Source organism: Homo sapiens, chromosome 22 (genome assembly GCF_000001405.40).
Source record: "Homo sapiens chromosome 22, GRCh38.p14 Primary Assembly".
Classification (NCBI taxonomy): Eukaryota; Metazoa; Chordata; class Mammalia; order Primates; family Hominidae; genus Homo; species Homo sapiens.
Genome location: NC_000022.11, coordinates 31,635,685 through 31,656,267, shown reverse-complemented (window position 1 = coordinate 31,656,267; position 20,583 = coordinate 31,635,685). Strand labels below are relative to the sequence as shown.

At 47.1% G+C, this 20,583-nt stretch overlaps 1 protein-coding gene across 12 annotated transcripts in view, besides 4 other annotated features; it reads left to right on the top strand.

The window, feature by feature from the left end:
- PISD (phosphatidylserine decarboxylase) overlaps positions 1-20,583 on the top strand; it is a 44,074-nt gene that overhangs the window by 6,297 nt on the left and 17,194 nt on the right. For 7 of the 12 annotated variants that reach the window (NM_001326412.1, NM_001326421.1, NM_001326411.2 and 4 more), the window contains exons 2-3: positions 5,490-5,569; positions 7,992-8,167. In NM_001326412.1, coding sequence (NP_001313341.1) covers positions 5,490-5,569; positions 7,992-8,167 — 256 coding nt within the window. Of the gene's footprint in view, positions 1-5,489; positions 5,570-7,991; positions 8,168-17,744; positions 17,903-20,583 lie in introns of those variants that run through there. The other 5 variants (NM_001326420.2, NM_001326418.2, NM_001326413.2 and 2 more) reach the window with 2 other exon arrangements.
- Positions 8,733-9,932: an enhancer, noted in NCBI's record as "BRD4-independent group 4 enhancer chr22:32042322-32043521 (GRCh37/hg19 assembly coordinates)". NCBI's record gives its function as "activates an origin of replication core promoter dependent on BRD2, P300/CBP, MED14 and CDK7 cofactors, and independent of BRD4, by STARR-seq in HCT116 cells {active_cell/tissue: HCT116}" and the evidence as "EXISTENCE:reporter gene assay evidence [ECO:0000049][PMID:35650434]".
- Positions 9,550-9,659: an enhancer, noted in NCBI's record as "active region_18867". NCBI's record gives its function as "activates an Ori minimal core promoter by ATAC-STARR-seq in GM12878 lymphoblastoid cells {active_cell/tissue: GM12878}" and the evidence as "EXISTENCE:reporter gene assay evidence [ECO:0000049][PMID:35858748]".
- Positions 9,670-9,719: an enhancer, noted in NCBI's record as "active region_18866". NCBI's record gives its function as "activates an Ori minimal core promoter by ATAC-STARR-seq in GM12878 lymphoblastoid cells {active_cell/tissue: GM12878}" and the evidence as "EXISTENCE:reporter gene assay evidence [ECO:0000049][PMID:35858748]".
- Positions 17,392-17,471: an enhancer, noted in NCBI's record as "active region_18865". NCBI's record gives its function as "activates an Ori minimal core promoter by ATAC-STARR-seq in GM12878 lymphoblastoid cells {active_cell/tissue: GM12878}" and the evidence as "EXISTENCE:reporter gene assay evidence [ECO:0000049][PMID:35858748]".

Genomic DNA, 20,583 nt, shown 5'->3' with positions numbered 1-20,583 from the left:
GGTTCAAGCAATTCTCCTGCCTCAGTCTCCCAAGTAGCTGGGATTATAGGCCACCACCATCACACCCGTCTAATTTTTTGTATTTTTAGTAGAGACGGGGTTTCACCATATTGGCTGGCTAGTTTTTTGTATTTTTAGTGGAGACGGGGTTTTACCATATTGGCGAGGCTGGTCTCAAACTCCCGACCTCAGGTGATCCACCTGCCTCAGCCTCTCAAAGTGCTGAGATTACAGGCGTGAGCCACTGAGCCTGGCCAGTGGTAGTTTTCATTGCCTTGCCAGTGGATTGAATGTGGATGATGAGAAAGAAAGGACTTAAAAATGAGTCCTGGGCTGGGTGCAGTGGCTCATGCCTGTAATCCCAACACTTTCGGAGGCCAAGGTGGGTGGATCACTTGAGGTCAGGAGTTCGAGCCCAGCCTGGCCAACATGGCGAAACCCTGTCTCTACTAAAAAAACACAAAAATTAGCTGGGTGTGGTGGCTTGTGCCTGTAATCCCAGCTACTTGGGAGGCTGAGGCAGAAGAACTGCTTGAACCCAGGAGGCGGAGGTTGCAGTGAGTTGAGATCACGCCACTGAACTCCAGCCTGGGTGACGGAGCGAGACTGCATCTCAAAAACAAAACAAAACAAAACAAAAACGAGTCCTGGCCTGGTGCAGTGGCTCATGCCTGTAATCCCAGAACTTTGGGAGGCTGAGGTGGGAGGATCACTTGAATCCAGGAGTTTGAGACCAGCCTAGGCCAGATGGCAAGACCTTATTTATCTCCACAAATATTTAAAAATTAGCTAAGTGTGCTGGTGCACACCTGTAGTCCTAGCTACTCAGGAGGCTGAGGTGAGAGGATGCCTTGAGCCCAGAAATTTGAGGCAGCGGTGAGCTATGATCATGCCACTGCACTTGAGCCTGGGCAGCAAAGCGAGACCCCATCTCTGGGAAAAAAAAAAAAAGGGGGTTGTACCTGAGTGGCTGGATGAACGGTGGTACCTTTTTTTGACCTGTTGTGTTAATTATAGTAATGTTGGTACTGTAACAGATAAACTCCAGCATTCTCAGTGGCTTAACACCGTAGAAGTTTCTCACTCTTGTAAAGCTGCATTGGGTGTTCCTGATTGGCAGGGCAGCTGTTCTCCAAGCAATGTTCAGGGACCCAGTCTCCTGCCGTCTTTTTTTTTTTTTTTTTTTTTTTTGGAGATAGAGTCTTGCTCTGTTACCCAGGCTGGAGTGCAATGGCGTGATCTCGGCTCACTGCAACCTCTGCCTCCCAGGTTCAAGCAATTCTCCTGCCTCAGCCTCCCCAGTAGCTGGGATTACAGGGGCACACCACCACGCCCATCTAATTTTTTGGATTTTAGTAGCTACTGGGTTTTACCGTGTTGCCCAGGCTGGTCTCAAACTCCTGAGCTCAGGCAATTCCTCCACCTTGGCCTCCCAAAGTATTAGGATTACAGGTGTGAGCCACCACGCCTGGCCTTCCTGCCATCTTTAATACTTCCCACAGTCGGCATGTTTGTCTGCATCAAGCTGGCTGGTGGGGGTAAGCTTGGAGGTGAATGCCTGGGAAGCCCGAATGATCCTCAGATTTCATTGGTTCACACTTAGTCTCATGGCCACACCTTGCTGCACAGGAGGCTGGGAAATTTAGTCTAACAGGTGTCCAGAAGAGGAAGTGCATTTGGTAAACATCTGGCTAGTCTCTCCTATGGATAGAGAACTCGGGCAGGAGCAGATTGAAGGTGAGTTAGAGAGGGTCGGGAATCCTGTCTTCTACAGACTCAGTTTGAGAGGACTCAAAATGGGGCCATTGGGTAGCTGGCCCCTGGAGGAGCAATGAAGGAGTCATCAGTGGATGGTTCTTTAAAGCCATGGGACTGGATAAGCATCTCTGGGGAGAGTTTATAGGTAGAGAAGAGATCTGAACCCTGGGCATGGCAAGAATCCACAGTTAGGAAGCAAAGGAGAATTCACAAATAGAGACTGAGAAGAAACCAGAGAAATAGGAAAAAAATCACGGTCCCAAAAGCCCAGTGAAGAGTGTTTCAAGGAGAGAAGGATCAACTGTGTCATGCTGCTGAGACGTCAAGTAAGATGAGACCTCAGATATGTGTGTGCATTGGTGTTGGCAACATGCAGGTTGTTGGTGACCTTGATGAGGTGGTGTGATAGGAACAAAACCTTACTGAGTGGGACTAAGAGAGGCTGAGAGGTGAGGAAGTGGTAACAGTGAGTGGAGAGCTCTTTTTAGGCTTGGAATGAAGGAGAGCAGAAAAGTAGGGAGGACCAAAGAATGATAGCATGGTAGACAGTGTTTGTGTAAGACTGAAGAAATGACAGCATTCATATGAAAATCGGGACGATCCCGTAATAAGATTCTCCTGCCTCAGCCTCCTGAGTAGCTGGTACTACAGCGTGTGTGCCACCACACCTGGCTAATTTTTGTATTTTTAGTGGAAATGGGGTTTCACCATGTTGGCCAGGCTGGTCTCGAACTCCTGACCTCAAGTGATCCACCCGCCTTGGCCTCCCAAAGTGCTGGAATTACAGTCATGAGCCACCATGCTCAGCTAGGTGTTTATAAGTCAAGGAAGTTTTATGTGAAAAAAGGGAAGTACCTAAATCTGATGTACCAAACTGATATAATGAAGCATTTCCCAGTATTTGTTCCAGCAGCTGGGACTACAGCGGTGGACAAAAAGCTGAGCTGTTTGTTCTTGGGCAGGGTTCCTGAGGGGGAAGATGGATATGCAAAACAAACCACCTGAGTGCCCTGTGTCCAGTTACGGTGGATACATAAATGATCATCTCCCATTCCTATTTCCTCCTGTCAGACAAAGCCTTGTTAATCATTGTGCAAACATTCTTTCAGTTAGGGGTTTTTCAGTATTCTGGAAAACACAATGCGGCAATGTACAGAACACAACAATTTATCCTTCAGTCCGTTTTTGCACTTCTCGTTAAAATTCTGTTTAGAAAGCAGGGTTTTAGGCTTTTTGCTGTGGCAGTGGGAGTATCCAGTCTAAGAAATGAACATTGTTCAGAACTGAAAGAACTTTCATATACTGAAATATACCCTTCATTGTGTTAATAGCTGTCTGGCCTTGGGGGTGGTGCTCGTCATGGTAAGATGCTTTTTCTCCTTGTTTGCCTATAGGAGAATCAGATTCATCATGTTAGCTACAATAGTGCTATGCTGCAAGGTGGGTGTGGTTTTTTTTTTTTTTTTTTTTTAAGGTAGGGTCCTACTCTGTCACCCAGCCTGGAGTACAGTAGCGTGTTTTCGGCTCACTGTAACCTCTGCCTCCTGGGTTCAGGCGATCCTCCCACTTCAACTTTTTGGTTAGGTAGGACTACAGGCACATGCCACCATGCCCGGCTAATTTTTGTATTTTTTGTACAGATGGGGTTTCACCATGTTGCCCAGGCTGGTCTTGAACTCCTGGGCTCAAGCAATCCTCCCACCTCAGCCTCCCACAGTGCCAGGATTATAGTTGTGAACCACAATGCCCAGCCTGGCAAGGGGGGTGTTTGTTTTGTTTTGTTTTGTGATTCTCCTGCCTCAGCCTCCCGAGTAGCTGGTACTACAGCATGTGTGCCACCGCGCCCGGCTAATTTTTGTATTTTTAGTAGAGACGGGGTTGCACCATGTTGGCCAGGCTGGTCTCGAACTCCTGACCTCAAGTGATCCACCCACCTCGGCCTCCCAAAGTGCTGGGATTCCAGGCGTGAGCCATCATGTGCTCAGCCAGGTGTTTGTAAGGCAAGGAAATTTTATGTGAAAAAAGGAAAGTACCTAAATCTGATAACATTTGTAGGATATCTATACAAGACATAACTTGGGCCAAGTGCTGTGGCTCACATCTGTAATCCCAGCACTTTGGCGGGCCGAGGCAGGTGGATCACTTGAGGTCAGGAGTTTGAGGCCAGCCTGGCCAACGTGGTGAAACTCTGTCTCTACTAAAAATACGAAATTAGTCAGGTGCAGTGGCATGCGCCTGTAATTCCAGGTACTCAGGAGGCTGAGGCATGACAATCGCTTGAACCCGGGAGGTGGAGGTTGCAGTGAGCCAAAATCCGCTCCAGCCTGGGTAACAGAGTGAGACTCTGTCACAGACACACACACACACACAAAAGACATAACTAAATATCCACGAAAGTAAATATTATAGTGTGAAAGTAATAAATGCAATTCTATTTTTCACAAAAATATCAATTTAAACATTTATAATAGAGTGAATTATTCTATCATAAAGGGTTCCAAGGAAAAAAATGTTTATTGACTCGGATACAGTTTTTTAACTTTAGATTTCAGGTCAGTATTTGGTGAAACTGAAGTGATATCTGAACTGAAAGTGAGATATTTCCTCTTTGATTAAGGGGAAACTCAACTAAAAACTCATTAATGCTTTGCTTGCTGGCATAGTCATTTATTGCCACTGGGAATATGTCTTATTTCTTCAGGCAAAGATGAAACAAAGAAGAGAAAGTAACTGAACCAGAATAGTATTTTCCTTTTTTTTTGAGACGGAGTTTTGCTCTTGTTGCCCAGGGTGGAGTGCAATGTCACGATCTCAGCTCATCTCAACCTCTGCCTCCCGGGTTCAAGTGATTCTCCTGCCTCAGCCTCCCAAGTAGCTGGGATTACAGGCATGTGCCACCACACCCAGCTAATTTTGTATTTTTAGTAGAGATGGGGTTTCTCCATGTTGGTCAGGCTGGTCTCGAACTCCCAACCTCAGGTGATCTGCCCGCCTCGGCCTCCCAAAAAAAACCCAAAAAGCCTTTTTATTGGGAAATAGTTTCAGGCTTACAGAAAGTTATAGAAATAGTACATAGAATTCCCAAATACCTTTTACCTAGATTCCTCAAATGTCAGCCCTATTTGCTTTATCATCTTCCATCTCTGTTTATATGTATATGTGTGTGTATACATATACATTCTTTTCCTGAGACACTTGAGAGCAATTTGCCAACTTGATGACCTTTTGCTTTTAAGCCCTTTTCTAGGCTGGGCCTGGTGGCTCATGCCTGTAATCCCAGCACTTTGGGAGGCTGAGGCTGGTGGATCACATGAGATCAGGAGTTTGAGACCAGCCTGGCCAACATGGTGAAAACTCATCTCTACTAAAAATACTAAAGTTAGCCAGGTGTGGTGGCGGGTGCCTGTAATCCCAGCTACTAGGGAGGCTGAGGCAGAAGAATCACTTGAGCCCGGGAGGCAGAGGTTGGAGTGAGCCAAGATTGCGGCACTGCACTCTAGCCTGGGTGACAGAGCAAGTCTCTGTCTCAAGAATGAATGAATGAATTAATAAATAAATAAATATTTCAGTCCTTCCCCTACAAGGACATTTTCTTATCTACAGTACAGTTGTCAAAACCAAGACATTTACATTGCTACAATATTGTTATTGAGTGTTTAAATTTTGCCGATTAATCCAGTAATTTTAATTTTAAGAATAATATTTAATGGTTCATTTTTGCTTGGTTATAGCCTCCATCCCTGTGAGATCACTGCCCTGAGCCAATCCCTACAGCCCTTACGGAAGCTGCCTTTTAGAGCCTTTCGCACAGGTAAGGAGCAATTAGAGATGGTGGTGACCCTCTCTCTGCCTCAGTTTGGTCATCTGTAAATTGGGATAAACATAGGGTTGTTGTTAGAGTTAAATGAGTTAGTATGTGGAAAGTACCTGGCATGCAGTTATCACTGAAGCGTTAGGTTTTCTTTTTCTTTTTTTTTTTTTTTGAGACAGTCTTGCTCTGTCGCCCAGGCTGGAATGCAATGATGCAATCTCGGCTTACTAAACCTCCACCTCCTGGGTTTAAGCAATTCTCATTCTCCAAGTAGCTGGGACACAGATGTGCACCACCACGCCTGGCTAATTTTTATTGTTAATTTTTGTTGTTTTTTTAATATTTCAAAGACTGTGTGCATACTGGCTAATTTGTGTATTTTTAGTAGAGATGAAGTTTTGCTATGATGCCCAGGCTGGTCTCAAACTCCTGGCCTCAAGTGATCTGCCGACCTTGGCCTCCCAAAGTGTTGGCATTACAGGCCTGAGCCACCGTGCCCGGCCTCATTATGTCTTTTTGATTATAGCCATTCCGATGGGTGTGAAGGGGTCTCATTGTGGTTTTGATTTGCATTTCCCTGATTACTAATAATGTTGTATTAGTTTGCTAGGGCTGCTGTAACAAAGCAACACAAACTGGGTTGCTTGAACAGCAGACATTTGCCTCATGATTCTAGGGCTAAATGTCTGAGATCAAGGTGTCAGGGTTGCTTCCTTTGGAGGGCTGTGAGGGAGAATCTGTTCCATGCCTCTTGCCTAGCTTCCAATGTTTTGCTGGCAATCTCTGGCATTCCTTACATATAGAAGCATCACTCCAATCTCTGCCTTCAGCTTCACCTGGTATTCTCCATGTGTGCATGTCTGTTTCTAGATTTTCCCTTTTTATAAGGACACCCATCATATTGGATTTGGACACACCTTGGCAACCTCATTTTATTTTATTTATTTATTTACTTATTTATTTTTTTGAGATGGAGTCTCGCTCTGTCGCCCAGGCTGAGTGCAGTGGTGGGATCTCGGCTCACTGCAAGCTCCGCATCCTGGGTTCATGTCATTCTCCTGCCTCAGCCTCCCGAGTAGCTGGGGCTACAGGCACCCACCACCATGCCTGGCTAATTTTTTGTATTTTTAGTAGAGACGGGGTTTCACCGTGTTAGCCAGGATGGTCCCGATCTCCTGACCTCGTGATCCGCCTGCCTCGGCCTCCCAAAGTCCTGGGATTACAGGCCTGAGCCACCATGCCCAGCCTGCAACCTCATTTTAACTTGATAATCTCTGTAAAGACCCTCTCTCCAGCCAACTAAGGGCACCTTCTAAGGTACTCAGGGTTAGAACTTCAACATAAGAGTTTTGGGGGAGTTTTCAGCAATTTAACGCATAACAGATATTTAGCCTCTGTCTTTTCTTGTGCTTATTGGCCAATGTATTTTTCCTTTGGACAAAGGTCTATTCAAATCCTTTGCACATTTTGATTGATTGATTGAGAGAGTCTCACTCTGTTGCCCAGGCTGGAGTGCAGTGGCGTGATCATAGCTCACTGTAACCTTGAACTCCTGGGTTCAAGCAATCCTCCCACCTCAGCCTACCTAGTAGCTGGGACTATAGGTGCAAGCCGCTGTGCCTGGCTATTTGTCTTTTTATTGTTGACCTGTAAGAGTTTATGAGATTTTGCATTTGAGAGAGAATACCAGTGCCTGATCAAAATTGGGCCTGCATTATAAAAGCAAGATCAAAGAGCCCTGGGTGAGAAATGGTGTTTGGCTTCAAGTTCTGGACCTGTTGGTGACCACCTGGGCAACCTTGATTAGTTTCTTGACCTCTTTGCGATTCAGTGTTTTCATCTATTAATACATTTTGTGACTGCGGTGGCAGTTGAGGTGCATTGTAATTCTATAGGAAAGATGCCTGTCCTGTACGTACTGACAGAATTTGGAGACAGGAGGGTCTGAGTAGTGGCCCAAGGTTGCACCTGCCTGCTAGATATGTTGAGGGTCCAGTCACCTCTACTGAGGGCTTCTTTTTTTTTTTTTTTTGAAATGGAGTCTCGCTCTGTTACCTAGGCTGGAGTGCAGTGGTGCAGTCTCGGCTCACTGCAAGCTCCGCCTCCCAGGTTCACGCCATTCTGCCTCAGCCTCCCGAGTAGCTGGGACTACAGGCGCCCGCCACTGTGCCCGGCTAAGTTTTCTTTTTGTATTTTTAGTAGAGACGGGGTTTCACCGTGGTCTCGATCTCCTGACCTCGTGATCCGCCTGCCTCGGCCTCCCAAAGTGCTGAGATTACAGGCGTGAGCCATGTGCCTGGTCCCCTACTGAGGGCTTCTGAGGTGCGCTGACTTTTCCTGACCCTCCTGTTGGTGCTGTGTTTGCATGACTCTTCCCTATTCCTGTCTCTCAGGCTTGAAATTGTCCTGTTTTTTATTACAGATGCCAGAAAAATCCACACTGCCCCTGCCCGAACCATGTTCCTGCTGCGTCCCCTGCCCATTCTGTTGGTGACAGGCGGCGGGTATGCAGGGTACCGGCAGTATGAGAAGTACAGGGAGCGAGAGCTGGAGAAGCTGGGATTGGAGATTCCACCCAAACTTGCTGGTCACTGGGAGGTAGGAATGAGGTGGAACTGCCTTGGGTTCTCGTCCAGCAAACTTTGTCTGTCACTTTTCCAGTTGTTCCAAAGTTGAAATGTTTGAACAAGTCAAATATGCTTTCTTGGAACTCATGTCTCCAGTAGGTTTTGGCCAGATACAGGAGTTATAACTTTGGTGTCAAGTCAAGCTTGTCTTCTGTTGCCAGACCTTACCCTGGTCTCCCCAAGGGTTCTGAGTAGAAATTTCTTGCTGTTGAAGTCTCAGAGTGTATGTCTTGAATTGGTGCTGACATCCTGGCTGTTCTGCTATTCTTGCCCTTGTTAGTCAGAAGAGGGCTGAAACTATTGAGCTTTTGTGATGTGGATTAGTTCTCACCAGGAACCAGACAGAAATAATCAAATTCCTTTGTCATTATTGCTCAAAATGCTTCCTTCCATCATAGTCACACGATAGGGGCAGCCTGCATTGTTACGGAATGCACGATACGTAATGAAACATCTTGTTCATCTGTGCTTCCCATGTCCCAGGATGATTCCTGACTTAGAGGAGACATTCAGTAAATTGTGAAACTGAATATAAAGGTGTAAGTTTAACAATTGCCTTTTTTTTGCAGCCATAATTTAACAAATAAAAAATCTGAAATATCAAAGGACCAGTAATAGGTCTTAATATTCTGGGCAAAAGAGGGGGTGACAGTTGAGGCTTTGTGATATCTGGAATGCAGTGGTGATCCACTCCATTTTGCTAATCCAGATCAGCTGAATCTATTCTAATAGGACATACGGTGACTGGGGCATTAGGATGCTGAAGGCAAGTCTCAACCATGCTCCGCAGTAGCTGTGTGAACTGGGACATGTCACTTTCTGTCTGGTCTTGTGTCTTTAACAGTAAAACAGCAGGTTGGGTTCGAACATGACTCTGAGATTCCATCCAGCTCTAACAGTTTATCTAGGAGTATTTGCTGCCATTGGCATTACATGCTACATTATAGGTTTCCTTCCAAAATCCTTTTTTGGACTTTAATTTTGACCATTTTCTTCCAATAGAATCTAGTATACAGACTTCACTTGATTTCTAACAGTCCTGTAAAACCGTGACTTAGTCAACTGGCCATACAGATCCAGCTATGGGAGTTACCCTAAGAGATACCTGTCTGCTCTTGCCCTGTATGTCCATGTGCCTACCCTTTGGCCTGTTCGTACGCCTTGGGCTTTGTAATAACCTACCTTAAACAAAAAAAAAAGTTTTCCGGTACTATATCACAAATTCCTTTTGGTGAAGGGTAATTATGTAGTAGGTGAGTCACACTTTCAAAGTATGCTGCCCTCTGTTCCCTGTGGCGTTGCTGGTTTCCCCTGTAAACATCATTTTCCATTAGATTAGTAGATTAGTAAAGTACTTGTAAAGTGTAGGTAGCACGTGACTGTGACTGCATGACCCCCCTCAAGTGTTAAACCCAAGCTGACATCTTTCTGACCTTGGGGATTTTTGAGGCTGACTCACCCTGTGATGAGCTTGCATGCTTTCAAGAAATTCCCACACACTTCAAAGGTTTCCCAAAAGAATATAAATTTGGAAGAAACCTGCCACTTCCAAAATCATAAAAGACCAACGCCAGTAGTTTTTTAGTATCTGCTGTTTATGTAATTGGAGTTATTGCCATACATAGTTTCAGACCTGGAAGATGGTTGTAAAGAGGACAGGGTTGATTAACTCATAAGTCCCAGGGCCTGGAAAGTGACAGGACACTGGAGTACAGTGGCCTAATGCAGTGTGAGATCTCAAAGCACCTATTGGTAAAGAACTGGGCTTAAGTTAGATACTCTTCTTGATTGAATAAAATGGTCACAGAACCACTCCTTGATGTTCTTTTTCTTTTTTTGTAGATATGAGGTCTTGCTCTGTTGCCCAGGCTGGTCTCAAACTCCTGGGCTCAAGCGACCCTCCTGCCTCAGCCTCCCAAAGTGCTGGGATTACAGGTGTGAGCCACTGTACCGGCCACTCCTGGATTTTCAAGTGGGACTCCAACACTTCATTTTATGAGGGGGAAATGGTCTGGACTTGGAGTTGACATTGGAGTTTGAGTATCCCTTATCCAAAATGCTTGGGACTGGAAGTGTTTTGGATTTTTTTTTGGATTTTTCAATATTTGTATATATATATATACTGAGATAACTTGGGGATGTGACCCAAGTCTGAACACAAAATTTATTTATTTTATTTTATTTGTTTTGTTTTTCTTTTCTTTTTTTTTTTTTTTAGATGGAGTCTCACTCTGTTGCCCAGGCTGGAAGGCAATGGCGCAATCTTGGCTCACTGCAACCTCCGCCTCCCCGGTTCAAGCGTCTCCCACCTCAGCCTTCCCAGTAGATGGGATTACAGGCACCTGCCGTTATGCCCAGCTAATTTTTATATTTTTGTAGAGACAGGGTTTCACTGGCCGGGCGCGGTGGCTCATGTCTATAATCCCAGCACTTTGGGAGGCTGAGGCGGGTGGATCACCTGAGGTCAGGAGTTCGAGACAAGCCTGGCCAACATGGTGAAACCCCGCCTCTACTAAAACTAAAAAAAAAAAAAGAGACAGGGTTTCACCATGTTGGCCAGGCTGCTCTCGAACTCCTGACCTCAGGTGATCCGCCCACCTCGGCCTCCCAAAGTGTGTGGATTATAGGTGTGCGCCACTGCGCCCGGCCAATTTATTTATTTATTTGAGGCAGGGCCTTGCTCTGTCACCTAGGGCTGGAGTACAGTGGCATGATCACGGCTCACTGCATCCCTGACCTCCTAGGCTCAAGCCATCCTCCCACCTCAGCCTTCTGGAGTAGCTGGGAATATAAGCGTGTACCATCCTACCTGGCTAATTTGTTTGAATTTTTGTGGAAACAGGGGTCTCATTTATGTTTTAGATATACCTTCTACACATAGCCTGCGGGTAACTTTATATAATACTTTAAATAATTTTCTTCATGAAACAAAGTTTTTTTCTTTTTTTTTTGAGACGGAGTCTCACTCTGTCACCCAGGCTGGAATGCAGTGGCATGATCTCGGCTCACTGCAAGCTCCACCCTTGGGTTCAAGCGATTCTCCTGCCTCAGCCTCCCAAGTAGCTGGGATTACAGGTGCCTATTACTGCGCCAGCTAATTTTTGTATTTTTAGTAGAGACAGGGGTTCACCCTCTTGGCCAGGCTGGTCTTGAACTTGTGACCTCATGATCCACCCGCCTCGGCCTCCGAAAGTGCTAGGATTACAGGCGTGAGCCACCATGCCCGGCCAAAACAAAGTTTTGACTGTGACCTGTCACATGACATCAGATGTGGAATTTTCCACTTGTTGGTGTCATGTCAGCACTCAAAAAGTCTCTGATTTTGGATGTTCAGATTAGGGATACTCAACTATATACGTTTTCAGGAATGGCAACAGGTTAAGAAGGGAGAGTGTTGAATGGCTGTCTGGGGCCTGGTCCTAATCCCACCTCTGGTTCCACCTAATCACTGTCATCACAAATGAAAAATGTGAGATTTTCCAAATGTAGCTGATATCAGAATTGTTGGGGAGCTTTAAAAATTATGAATTTGAGGCTGGGCGTGGTGGCTCATGCCTGTAATCCCAGCACTTTGGGAGGCCGAGGCGGGCGGATCACGAGGTCAGGAGATCGAGACCATCCTGGTTAACATGGTGAAACCCCATCTCTACTAAAAATACAAAAAATTAGCCAGGCATGGTGGCGGGCGCCTGTAATCCCAGCTACTTGGGAGGCTGAGGCAGGAGAATGGCGTGAACCCGGGAGGTGGAGGTTGCAGTGAGCTGAGATCATGCCACTGCACTCCAGCCTGGGTGACAGAGTGAAGACTCCATCTCAAAAAAAAAAAAAAGAAAAAATTATGAATTTGAATTCCTTAACTCCTAGAAATCTACAAAGTTTGGGCTAGGTGCAAGATCTGTGTTTTCCAGGAGCCCTGTAGGTGATTCTGATGATAAGCCAGCTTGAAGAACCAAAGGCAGATGAGCCCTACCTAATGTTCCCTTCAGGGCTACAGTTTTTTGTTTTTGTTTTTGTTTTTTTTTTTGAGACGGAGACTCGCCCTGTCACCCAGGCTGGAGTGCAGTGGCGCAATCTCGGCTCACTGCAACCTCTGCCTCTTGGGTTCAAGCCATTCTCCTGCCTCAGCCTCCTGAGTAGCTGGGATTACAAGTGCCCGCCACCAGGCCTGGCTAATTTTTTGTATTTTTAGTAGAGACGGGGTTTCACCGTGTTAACCAGGATAGTCTCGATCTCCTGACTTCGTGATCTGCCTGCCTTGGCCTCCCAAAGTGCTGGGATTACAGGCATGAGCCACCATGCACAGCCACTAATTTTTGTATTTTTTTGTAGAGATGGGGTTTCACCATGTTGCCCAGGGTGGTTTTGAACTCCTTAGCTCAAGTGATTCACCCACCTTGGCCTCCCAAAGTGCTAGAATTACAGGCATGAGCCACTGTGCCGGGCCAGTTTTAGGTTTTTGTTTTGTTTTGTTTTTCAGAGACAGGGTCTTGCTGTGCTAAGGCTGGAGAGTAGTGGTGTGATCATATCTTGCTACAGCCTTGAACTCCTGGGTTCACATGTTTCTTTCACCTTAGCCTTCCCAGTAGTGGACTGTAGGTATGTGCCACTTCGCCAGGGTAGTTTTATATTTAAGTCTTTTATCCATTTTGAATTAATTTTTATTTACGGTATAAGAGAAGAATCCAACGTCATTATTTTGCATGTGGGTATCCAGTTTTCCCAGCATCATTTGTTGAAAAGATTATCCTTTCTCTATTGAATGGTCTTGGCATGCTTGTAGAAATCAGTCTTACTCCCTGTTAAATGACGGAGATGAATATAGCAAACACTATGACAGAATGTTGGAAAACAGGGGACATGATGATTCCCACGCCTTCTTGCCATGTGACTGTGATTGCTTAATCATGCGCTTTGTTTTTTATGCATTCACTTCCTGTCTTTATCTCTATTTTCTTTTTTTTTTTTTTTTGAGATGGCATTTTGCTCTTGTTGCCCAGGCTGGAGTGCAGTGGCACAATCTCTGCTCACTGCAACTTCCGCCTCCCGGGTTCAAGCAATTTTCCTGCTTCAGCCTCCCAAGTAGGTAGGATTACAGGTGTGTGCCACCACGCCTGGCTAATTTAGTATTTTTAGTAGAGACGGGGATGCTCCATGTTGGTCAAGCTGGTCTCGAACTCCCGACCTCAGGTGATCCGCCCGCCTCAGCCTCCCAAAGTGCTGGGATTACAGGTGTGAGCCACCACGCCCGGCTTTTTTTCTTTCTTTTTTTTTTTTTTTGAAACTGAGTCTCGCTCTGTCTCCCAGGCTGGAGTCCAGTGGCGTGATCTTCGCTCACTGCAACCTCTGCCTCCCGGGTTCAAGTGATTCCCCTGCCTCAGTCTCCCAAGCAGCCGGGACTACAGGTGCGCGCACCACCACGCCCAGCTAATTTTTGTATTTTTAGTAGAGATGGGGTTTCACCGTGTTGGCCAGGATGCTCTCAATTTCCTGACCTTGTGATCCACCTGCCTTGGGCCCCCAAAGTGCTGGGATTACAGGTGTGAGCTACCACACCTGTCCTTTTTTCTGTATTTTTAAATTGATTCAGCTGTTTGTTTGTTTTTTGTTTTTCTTTTTTGAGGCAGGCTCTTGCTGTGTTGCCCAGACTGGAGTGCAGTGGCACAGTCACAGCTCACTGTAGCCTTAACCTTCCGAGTTTAAGCAGTCCTCTCACCTCAGCCTCCCAAGTAGCTGGGACATGGTGCACAGGCATGCACCACCACCACACTCAGCTAATTTTTTATTTTTTGTAGAGATGGGGTCTCACTATGTTGCCTAGGCTGGTCTCAAGCGATCCTCCCACCTTGGCCTCCCAAAGTGCTGGGATTCCAGGTGTGAGCCACCCTGGAGCCACTCTTGGCTCTTCCTCAGTGGTGACAGGCGCCCAGGTCCTGAAGTCTCTGGTTGCCACTGAGGCTTTACCACCTCAGTTGATTCTGGTATACTGGTGGTCTTTGCCACCATGAATAATGTTGCAGAGCATACCTTTGCACATAAAGCCTTTTCCTCATGATGAAAGCCTACGTGTAGGATTGCTGCCTGAAAGGGTATGGACACCTTTATGGTTTGTGGCATGCATTTGGCTTCTAAAACAATCGGAGTGTTTCCCCCTTATCCAAGGTTTCATGTTCCTGCAGTCTGAAAATATTAAATGTAAATTTCCAGAAATAATTCCTAAGTTTTTAAATTTTATCATTATTATTATTATTTTTTGAGATGGCGTCTCACTCTGTCGCCCAGGCTGGAGTGCAGTGGCGCGATCTCAGCTCACTGCAACCTGCGCCTCCCGGGTTCAAGCAGTTCTCCTGCCTCAGCCTCCCGAGTAGCTGGGATTACAGGCTTGTGGCACCACACCTGGCTAATTTTTTTGTGTGTTTTTAGTAGAGATCGGGTTTCACCATTGTTGGCCAGGCTGTTCTTGAACTCTTGACCTCAGGTGATCTGCCCACCTCAGCCTCCCAAAGCTGGGATTACAGGTGTGAGCCACCGCACCTGGCCACAATTCCTAAGTTTCAAATGTCTCCCTGTTCTGAGTAGCATAATGAACTCTCTCTCTCCCACCTAGGATATGAATCCTCCCTCTGTCCATTGTGACCTCAGTGTCTATGCTGCCTGCCCATAAGTCACTTAGTAGCCATCTCAGTTACCGTATCAGCTGTCGTGGTATTCTGGTGCTTGTGTTCAGGTCACCCTTATTTGGCTTAACACTGGCCCCAAAGTGCAATAATAGCAATTCTGGCAATTTGGATTGCCGAAGAGAAAGTGGTAAAGTGCCTTCTTTAAGTGAAAATGTGAAAGTTCTGGACTTCAAAAGGAAAGAAAAAAAATCATATGCTGATTTTGATAAGATCTATGGTAAGAGTGAATCTTTTATCCGTTAGTTGAGCATGATGTCGAGGTGGGTGGATCACCTGAGGTCAGGAGTTAAGACCAGCCCGACCAACATGGTGGAACCCCTCTTCTACTAAATACAAAAAATTAGCCGGGAGTGGTGGTGCATACTTGTAATCCCAGCTACTTGGGAGGCTGAGGCAGGAGAATCGCTTGAACCCAGGAGGTGGAGGTTGCAGTGAGCCGAGATTGCGCCATTGCACTCCAGCCTGGGCAGCAAGAGTGAAACTCCATCTCAAAAAAAAAAAAAAAAAAAAAAAACACCGGGTGTGGTGGCTCATGCCTGTAATCCCAGCACTTTGGGAGGCCGAGGCGGGTGGATCACCTGAGGTCAGGAGTTCAAGACCAGCCTGGCCCACATGGTGAAACCTTGTCTCTACTAAAAATACAAAAATTAGCCAGGCGTGGCGGCAGGCACCTGTAATCCCTGCTACTCGGGAGGCTGAGGTGGGAGAATTGCTTGAACCCAGGAGGCAGAGGTTGCAGTGAGCCGAGATCGTGCCATTGTACTCCAGCCTGGTTGACAGAGCGAGACTCCGTCTCAAAAAAAAAAAAAAAAAAAAAAACAACCAAACCGAAACAAAAAGGATGTTTTTATTTTAAGTTTTTATTTCACAGAATGATGTCTCTAGAAAGGGTAGCTTGAGGCCTGGAGTGGTGGCTCATGCCTGTAATCCCAGCACTTTGGGAGACTGAGGTGGCGGATCACTTGAGCTCAGGAGTTTGAGACCAATCCGCGCAACGTGGTGAAACCTCATCTCTGCTCAAAATACAAAAATCAACCGGTGTGGTGGCATGGGCCTGTGGTCCCAGCTACTTGGGAGGCTGAGGTGGGAGGATTGCTTGAGCCAGGAGGTAGAGGTTGCAGTGAGTTGAGATTGTGCCACTGCACTCCAGCCGGGGTGACAGAGCAAGACTCTGTCTCAAAAAAAAAAAAAAAAAGTAGCTTGAAATCGTGTTCTGGAAAGCTGCTTGCTGAGCTGCTCAGGTTGAAGACCCAGAGTGTTCCTTTTAGTTCCATTTAGCCCCGTCGCGTGGAGTGTGCGCAGCTTGAATAATGCTTTTTGGCTTCCAGAGTGCTATTCCCTTGAGTCCCTGATTCAACCTGTGGCCCATCAGTGGGCAGAGGTGATTTTCTGCAGGGTACCAAGGGCACTCTTGAAGGCAGGAGCTCAGGGACTGCTGAGAAGTAGAAGAGCCGCTTCTCTGAGTTTCTTTTCAGGAACTCATGATGTCCTGGGAACATTCTTGGTTCTTGGCCTGAGTGTTCACTTGGGTTCCACAGGTGTGGCTTGTGGCTTTGGCTGTTGACATAGAGGCCTGTGCTCAGAGCCGCGGTGAGTGAGCACAGACAGAGGGTGGGTGGCTACCAGGTACAGATCTGTAGTTTATGGATCCATAGTTTATACTGCTGCAGTGGTCATATGTCCTGCCTTTGTGTGGCGGTTGTGATTTCAGATATGCTGCCTATTTGTCCCCAAAAGTCATAAAAAAAATCATTCAGCAATCATGTCATATTGCCTGTTTCCTCTTTTCCTGAAATTGACAAATACTGTTTTAGATTATATCTCAAATTTTTGGTTACAAAACATCTAATTGAAAATATACACTTTCAGCTAGGCATGGTGGCTCATGCCTGTGATCCCAACACTTTGGGAGGCTGAGGTGGGAAGATTGCTTGAGCCCAGGAGTTCATGACCAGCCTGGCAAGGCAAGACTCTGTCTCTACAAAAAAATACATTAAAAAATTAGCCAGCCTGGCCAACATGGTGAAACCCCGTCTCTACTAAAAATGCAAAAACATTTGCTGGGTGTGGTGGCGGGCGCCTGTAATCCTAGCTAATTTGGAGGCTGAGACAGGAGAATCACTTGAACCCAGCAGGCGGAGGTTGCAGTGAGCCGAGACTGCGCCATTGCACTCCAGCCTGGTCAATGAAACTCTGTCTCAAAAAAAAAAAAAAGAAAAAGGAAAAGAAAAATTAGCCAGGGGTGGTGGTGTGTGTGCCTGTGGTCCCTGTTACCTGAGAGGCTGAGACAGGAGAATCGCTTGAACCTGGGAGGCGGAGGTTGCAGTGAGCTGAGATCATGCCACTGCACTCCAGCCTGGTGACAGAGCGAGACGCTGTCTCAGGGGGAAAAAAAGGAAAAAAAAGACAGGCTCTCACTCTGTCATCCAGTCTGGAGTGCAGTGGTGTGAGCAGGGCTCACCACGGCCTCGACCTCCCAGGCTCAGGTGATCCTCCCACCTCAGCTGAAACTGCGCCATTGCACTCCAGCCTAGGCAATAAGAACGAAACTCTATCTCAAAAAAAAAAAAAAAGAAAGAAAAAAAAAATGGAAAAGAAAAGAAAAATCAGCCAGGGGTGGTGGTGTGTGCCTCTGGTCCCAGCTGCCTGAGAGGCTGAGGCAGGAAGATCTCTTGAGCCCAGGAGTTTGAGAGCAGCCTGGGCAACATAGCAAAACCATGCCTCTACAAAGAAAAAACCATTAGCTAGTAGTAGAGACAGAACTGGTTTTTGTGGCAGAGGCTAGGGAAGGATGGGGGCAGATCTCTGAGGGGAGGAGTGGCCTGCGGGTGTCCTTACTACCCGTTTTGCCTCTCTTGGGGCAGCTGTGTCATTTCCTCTCTGCCGGTCTTCTTGGCCAACAAGCGTTTCTCCCTCTTCCCTGTTCTCCCCACTTCCCCACTTCATCCCCCTTCATCCCCCCTTCCTCGCCCCTCCACAGACCCAGGGCATTTGGTGGACACTTTTGCTTGCAGTTAGGTCAAGTGGAGGTGAGTTTCCCATGGGGCAGGGGCTTGACAGCAGGGGTGGCCGTCCAGACTCTCCAGAAGGGACGTGGGGCTGCTGTTGTGACTGGACCTGCCCCACATCTTTGGGCCTGAGCTGTGCCCGGTCACAGCGTCCTGAGTTCCTTTGTGTTGCCTCTGCCCCGTGGATCTAGGTCTTGGGGGAGGGCTGGTTTCATCCTGGGGCTACCACCACCTGGCAGCAGCCCCACAGCCAAGGGCAGGCACAGCCAAAATACATCTGCCTGAGTGGCCACAGAGCAGGGCCAGGCTCTCCTGGCCCAGTGGTTTGGAGGACAGAGGGCCTGGCCCGAGGGGAGGCACTTGCTCAGCCTGCGGCTCCCACGCCAAAGGCAGGGCGGCCTCTGGGTCTGTCTGGGGCCGAGCCTTATTTCTGGAAGCACATGGATCCTCCTTCCTTGCCACTCAGTCTAAATGTTTAGGTTACAAACATTCTGAGTGAGAAATTTCAGTCAGAGCTTGTAATGTGTAGGACGTGACATTAGGGAGTGAAGAGCTTTCCTCTTCACTGATTCAAGATAGCCAGTGCCGGGTGAGGGGAGCGGGACACTTGCTTCTTCAGAAGAGTGGATCCAAAAGTTGACCTCTTCCCCAGACTGAGTCAGCATGGGAAGAGAATTGTGCTTTCACAAAAGCAGAGATGCTTTTCTGTAGCTTTCACTGTTTCTTCTTTGCTCTGGAAAATGGAGGACGAAGGAGTTCTCAGGTCCTCAGTCACTGGAGTAAAGTGACATGCACGTCCCAGCGTGAGTGCCTGAATGGGTCTCTCAGGTCTGAACAGAACAGCCCTGTGGCTGCCGCGAGCTGGTGCAGGAGGAAGTACAGAGGAGGGTCCGGTTCAGAGTGGCGTGAGACCAGGGTTAGATGACTGTTGCCAGTTTAGGGCCAGTGAGAGATTTTTAATGGTAAATATGTAACCTCTTTTAAAAAAAAACAAAAACAAACAAAAAACACAACTTTTTCTTTTTTGAGAGAGTCTTGCTCTGTTGCCCAGGCTGGAGTGTAGCGGTGTGATCACAGCTTACTGCAGCCTCAACCTCCCAGGCTCAAGCGATCCTCCCACCTCAGCCTGCTGAGTAGCTGGAATTACTGGCGTGCACCACCATGCCCGGCTAATTTTTCTATATATATATATATATATATATATATATATATATATATATATTTTTTTTTTTTTTTTTTTTTTAATTTATTTATTATTATTTTTTTTTGTAGAGTTTTGCCGTGTTGCCCAGGCAGGTCTCAACCTCCTGGGCTCAAGTGATATAGCTGCCTTGGCCTCCCAAAGTGTTGAAATTATAGGCGTGAGCTACTGCGCCCAACGAATATGTAATCTTTTTAAAAAAAGGGAAAAGGTTGGGCGCGGTGGCTCACACCTGTAATCCCAGCACTTTGGGAGACCGAGATGGGTGGATCACGAGGTCAGGAGTTCAAGACCAGCCTGGCCAACATGGTGAAACCCCGTCTCTACTAAAAATACAAAAATTAGGCTGGGCGTGGTGGCTCATGCCTGTAATCCCAGCACTTTGGGAGGCTGAGGTGGGCAGATCACAAGGTCAGGAGATCGAGACCATCCTGGCTAACACGTTGAAACCCCGTCTCTACTAAAAAAAATACAAAAAATTAGCCGGGCGTGGTGGCGGGCGCCTGTAGTCCCAGCTACTTGGGAGGCTGAGGCAGGAGAATGGTGTGAACCTGGGAGGCAGAGCTTGCAGTGAGCCGAGATCGTGCCACTGCACTCCAGACTGGGAGAGAGAGTGAGACTCCATCTCAAAAACAAAAAAAAACAAAACCCAGAAATTAGCTGGGCGTGGTGGCGGGTGCCTGTAATCCCAGCTACTTGGGAGGCTGAGGCAGGAGAATCGCTTGAACCCGGAAGGTGGTTTTATTGTTTTGAGGCATGGCCCTGGGGGCTTGTGGCAAGGGCTGAGGTGTTTGGGGAGCAGCAGTGCAGGAAAGGCCTTACTCAGCTGGGCTTGCAGGTATGCTCACTCCTGTCTGAGCGCTGCTTCCTTGTTTCTAGCCTCCGTTTAGAATAAAAAAAAAATGTATAGTACAGTATTCCAATTCATCAAAAGGAATAAAGACAGATCAGCCTGTCTGGTCTACCACCATTCAGCCTAAGCATAAGGCAGAACCCTGTGAAGTGGCCTGTGTCCTCCTTCTCTCCCTGTCCCCTTCCTGGAGCCCCATGGGCCTGTGCTCAGCACGCGTCCTGGCGCCGCGGTGTACCTGGTAGTGGGCAGTATCGGACGTGTTCTCCATGTTGGTGAGCGATGTACATGCTGTAGCTTTATTATTCTCATCTATAAATAGGGCCATTCATGCCCTCATAAAGTTGTTAAATAAGAGTGATGTGTATGTAAATACCTGGCCCCATGCTGGCAGGGAGTGGAGCTTTAGTACTATTTTACTTCTTACCTAATAGGTGTGAGTGTGGAAATGGGCAAATAGTCAAGTTGGCAGGGAAGCAGAGCCTCCTGCCTGCCCCAGTGCCACCTGAACTCCTGTAGTGTTCTTATGCCACTGGAACTGGCTGGCAGGGGCCAGCTCTGACCTCAGAGAATTGTGGGCTCACTCTAGGGCAGGAGGAGATCGCAGAGGGCGGAACGGTGGCTCATACAGCCATGCCCCCAGGTGGCCCA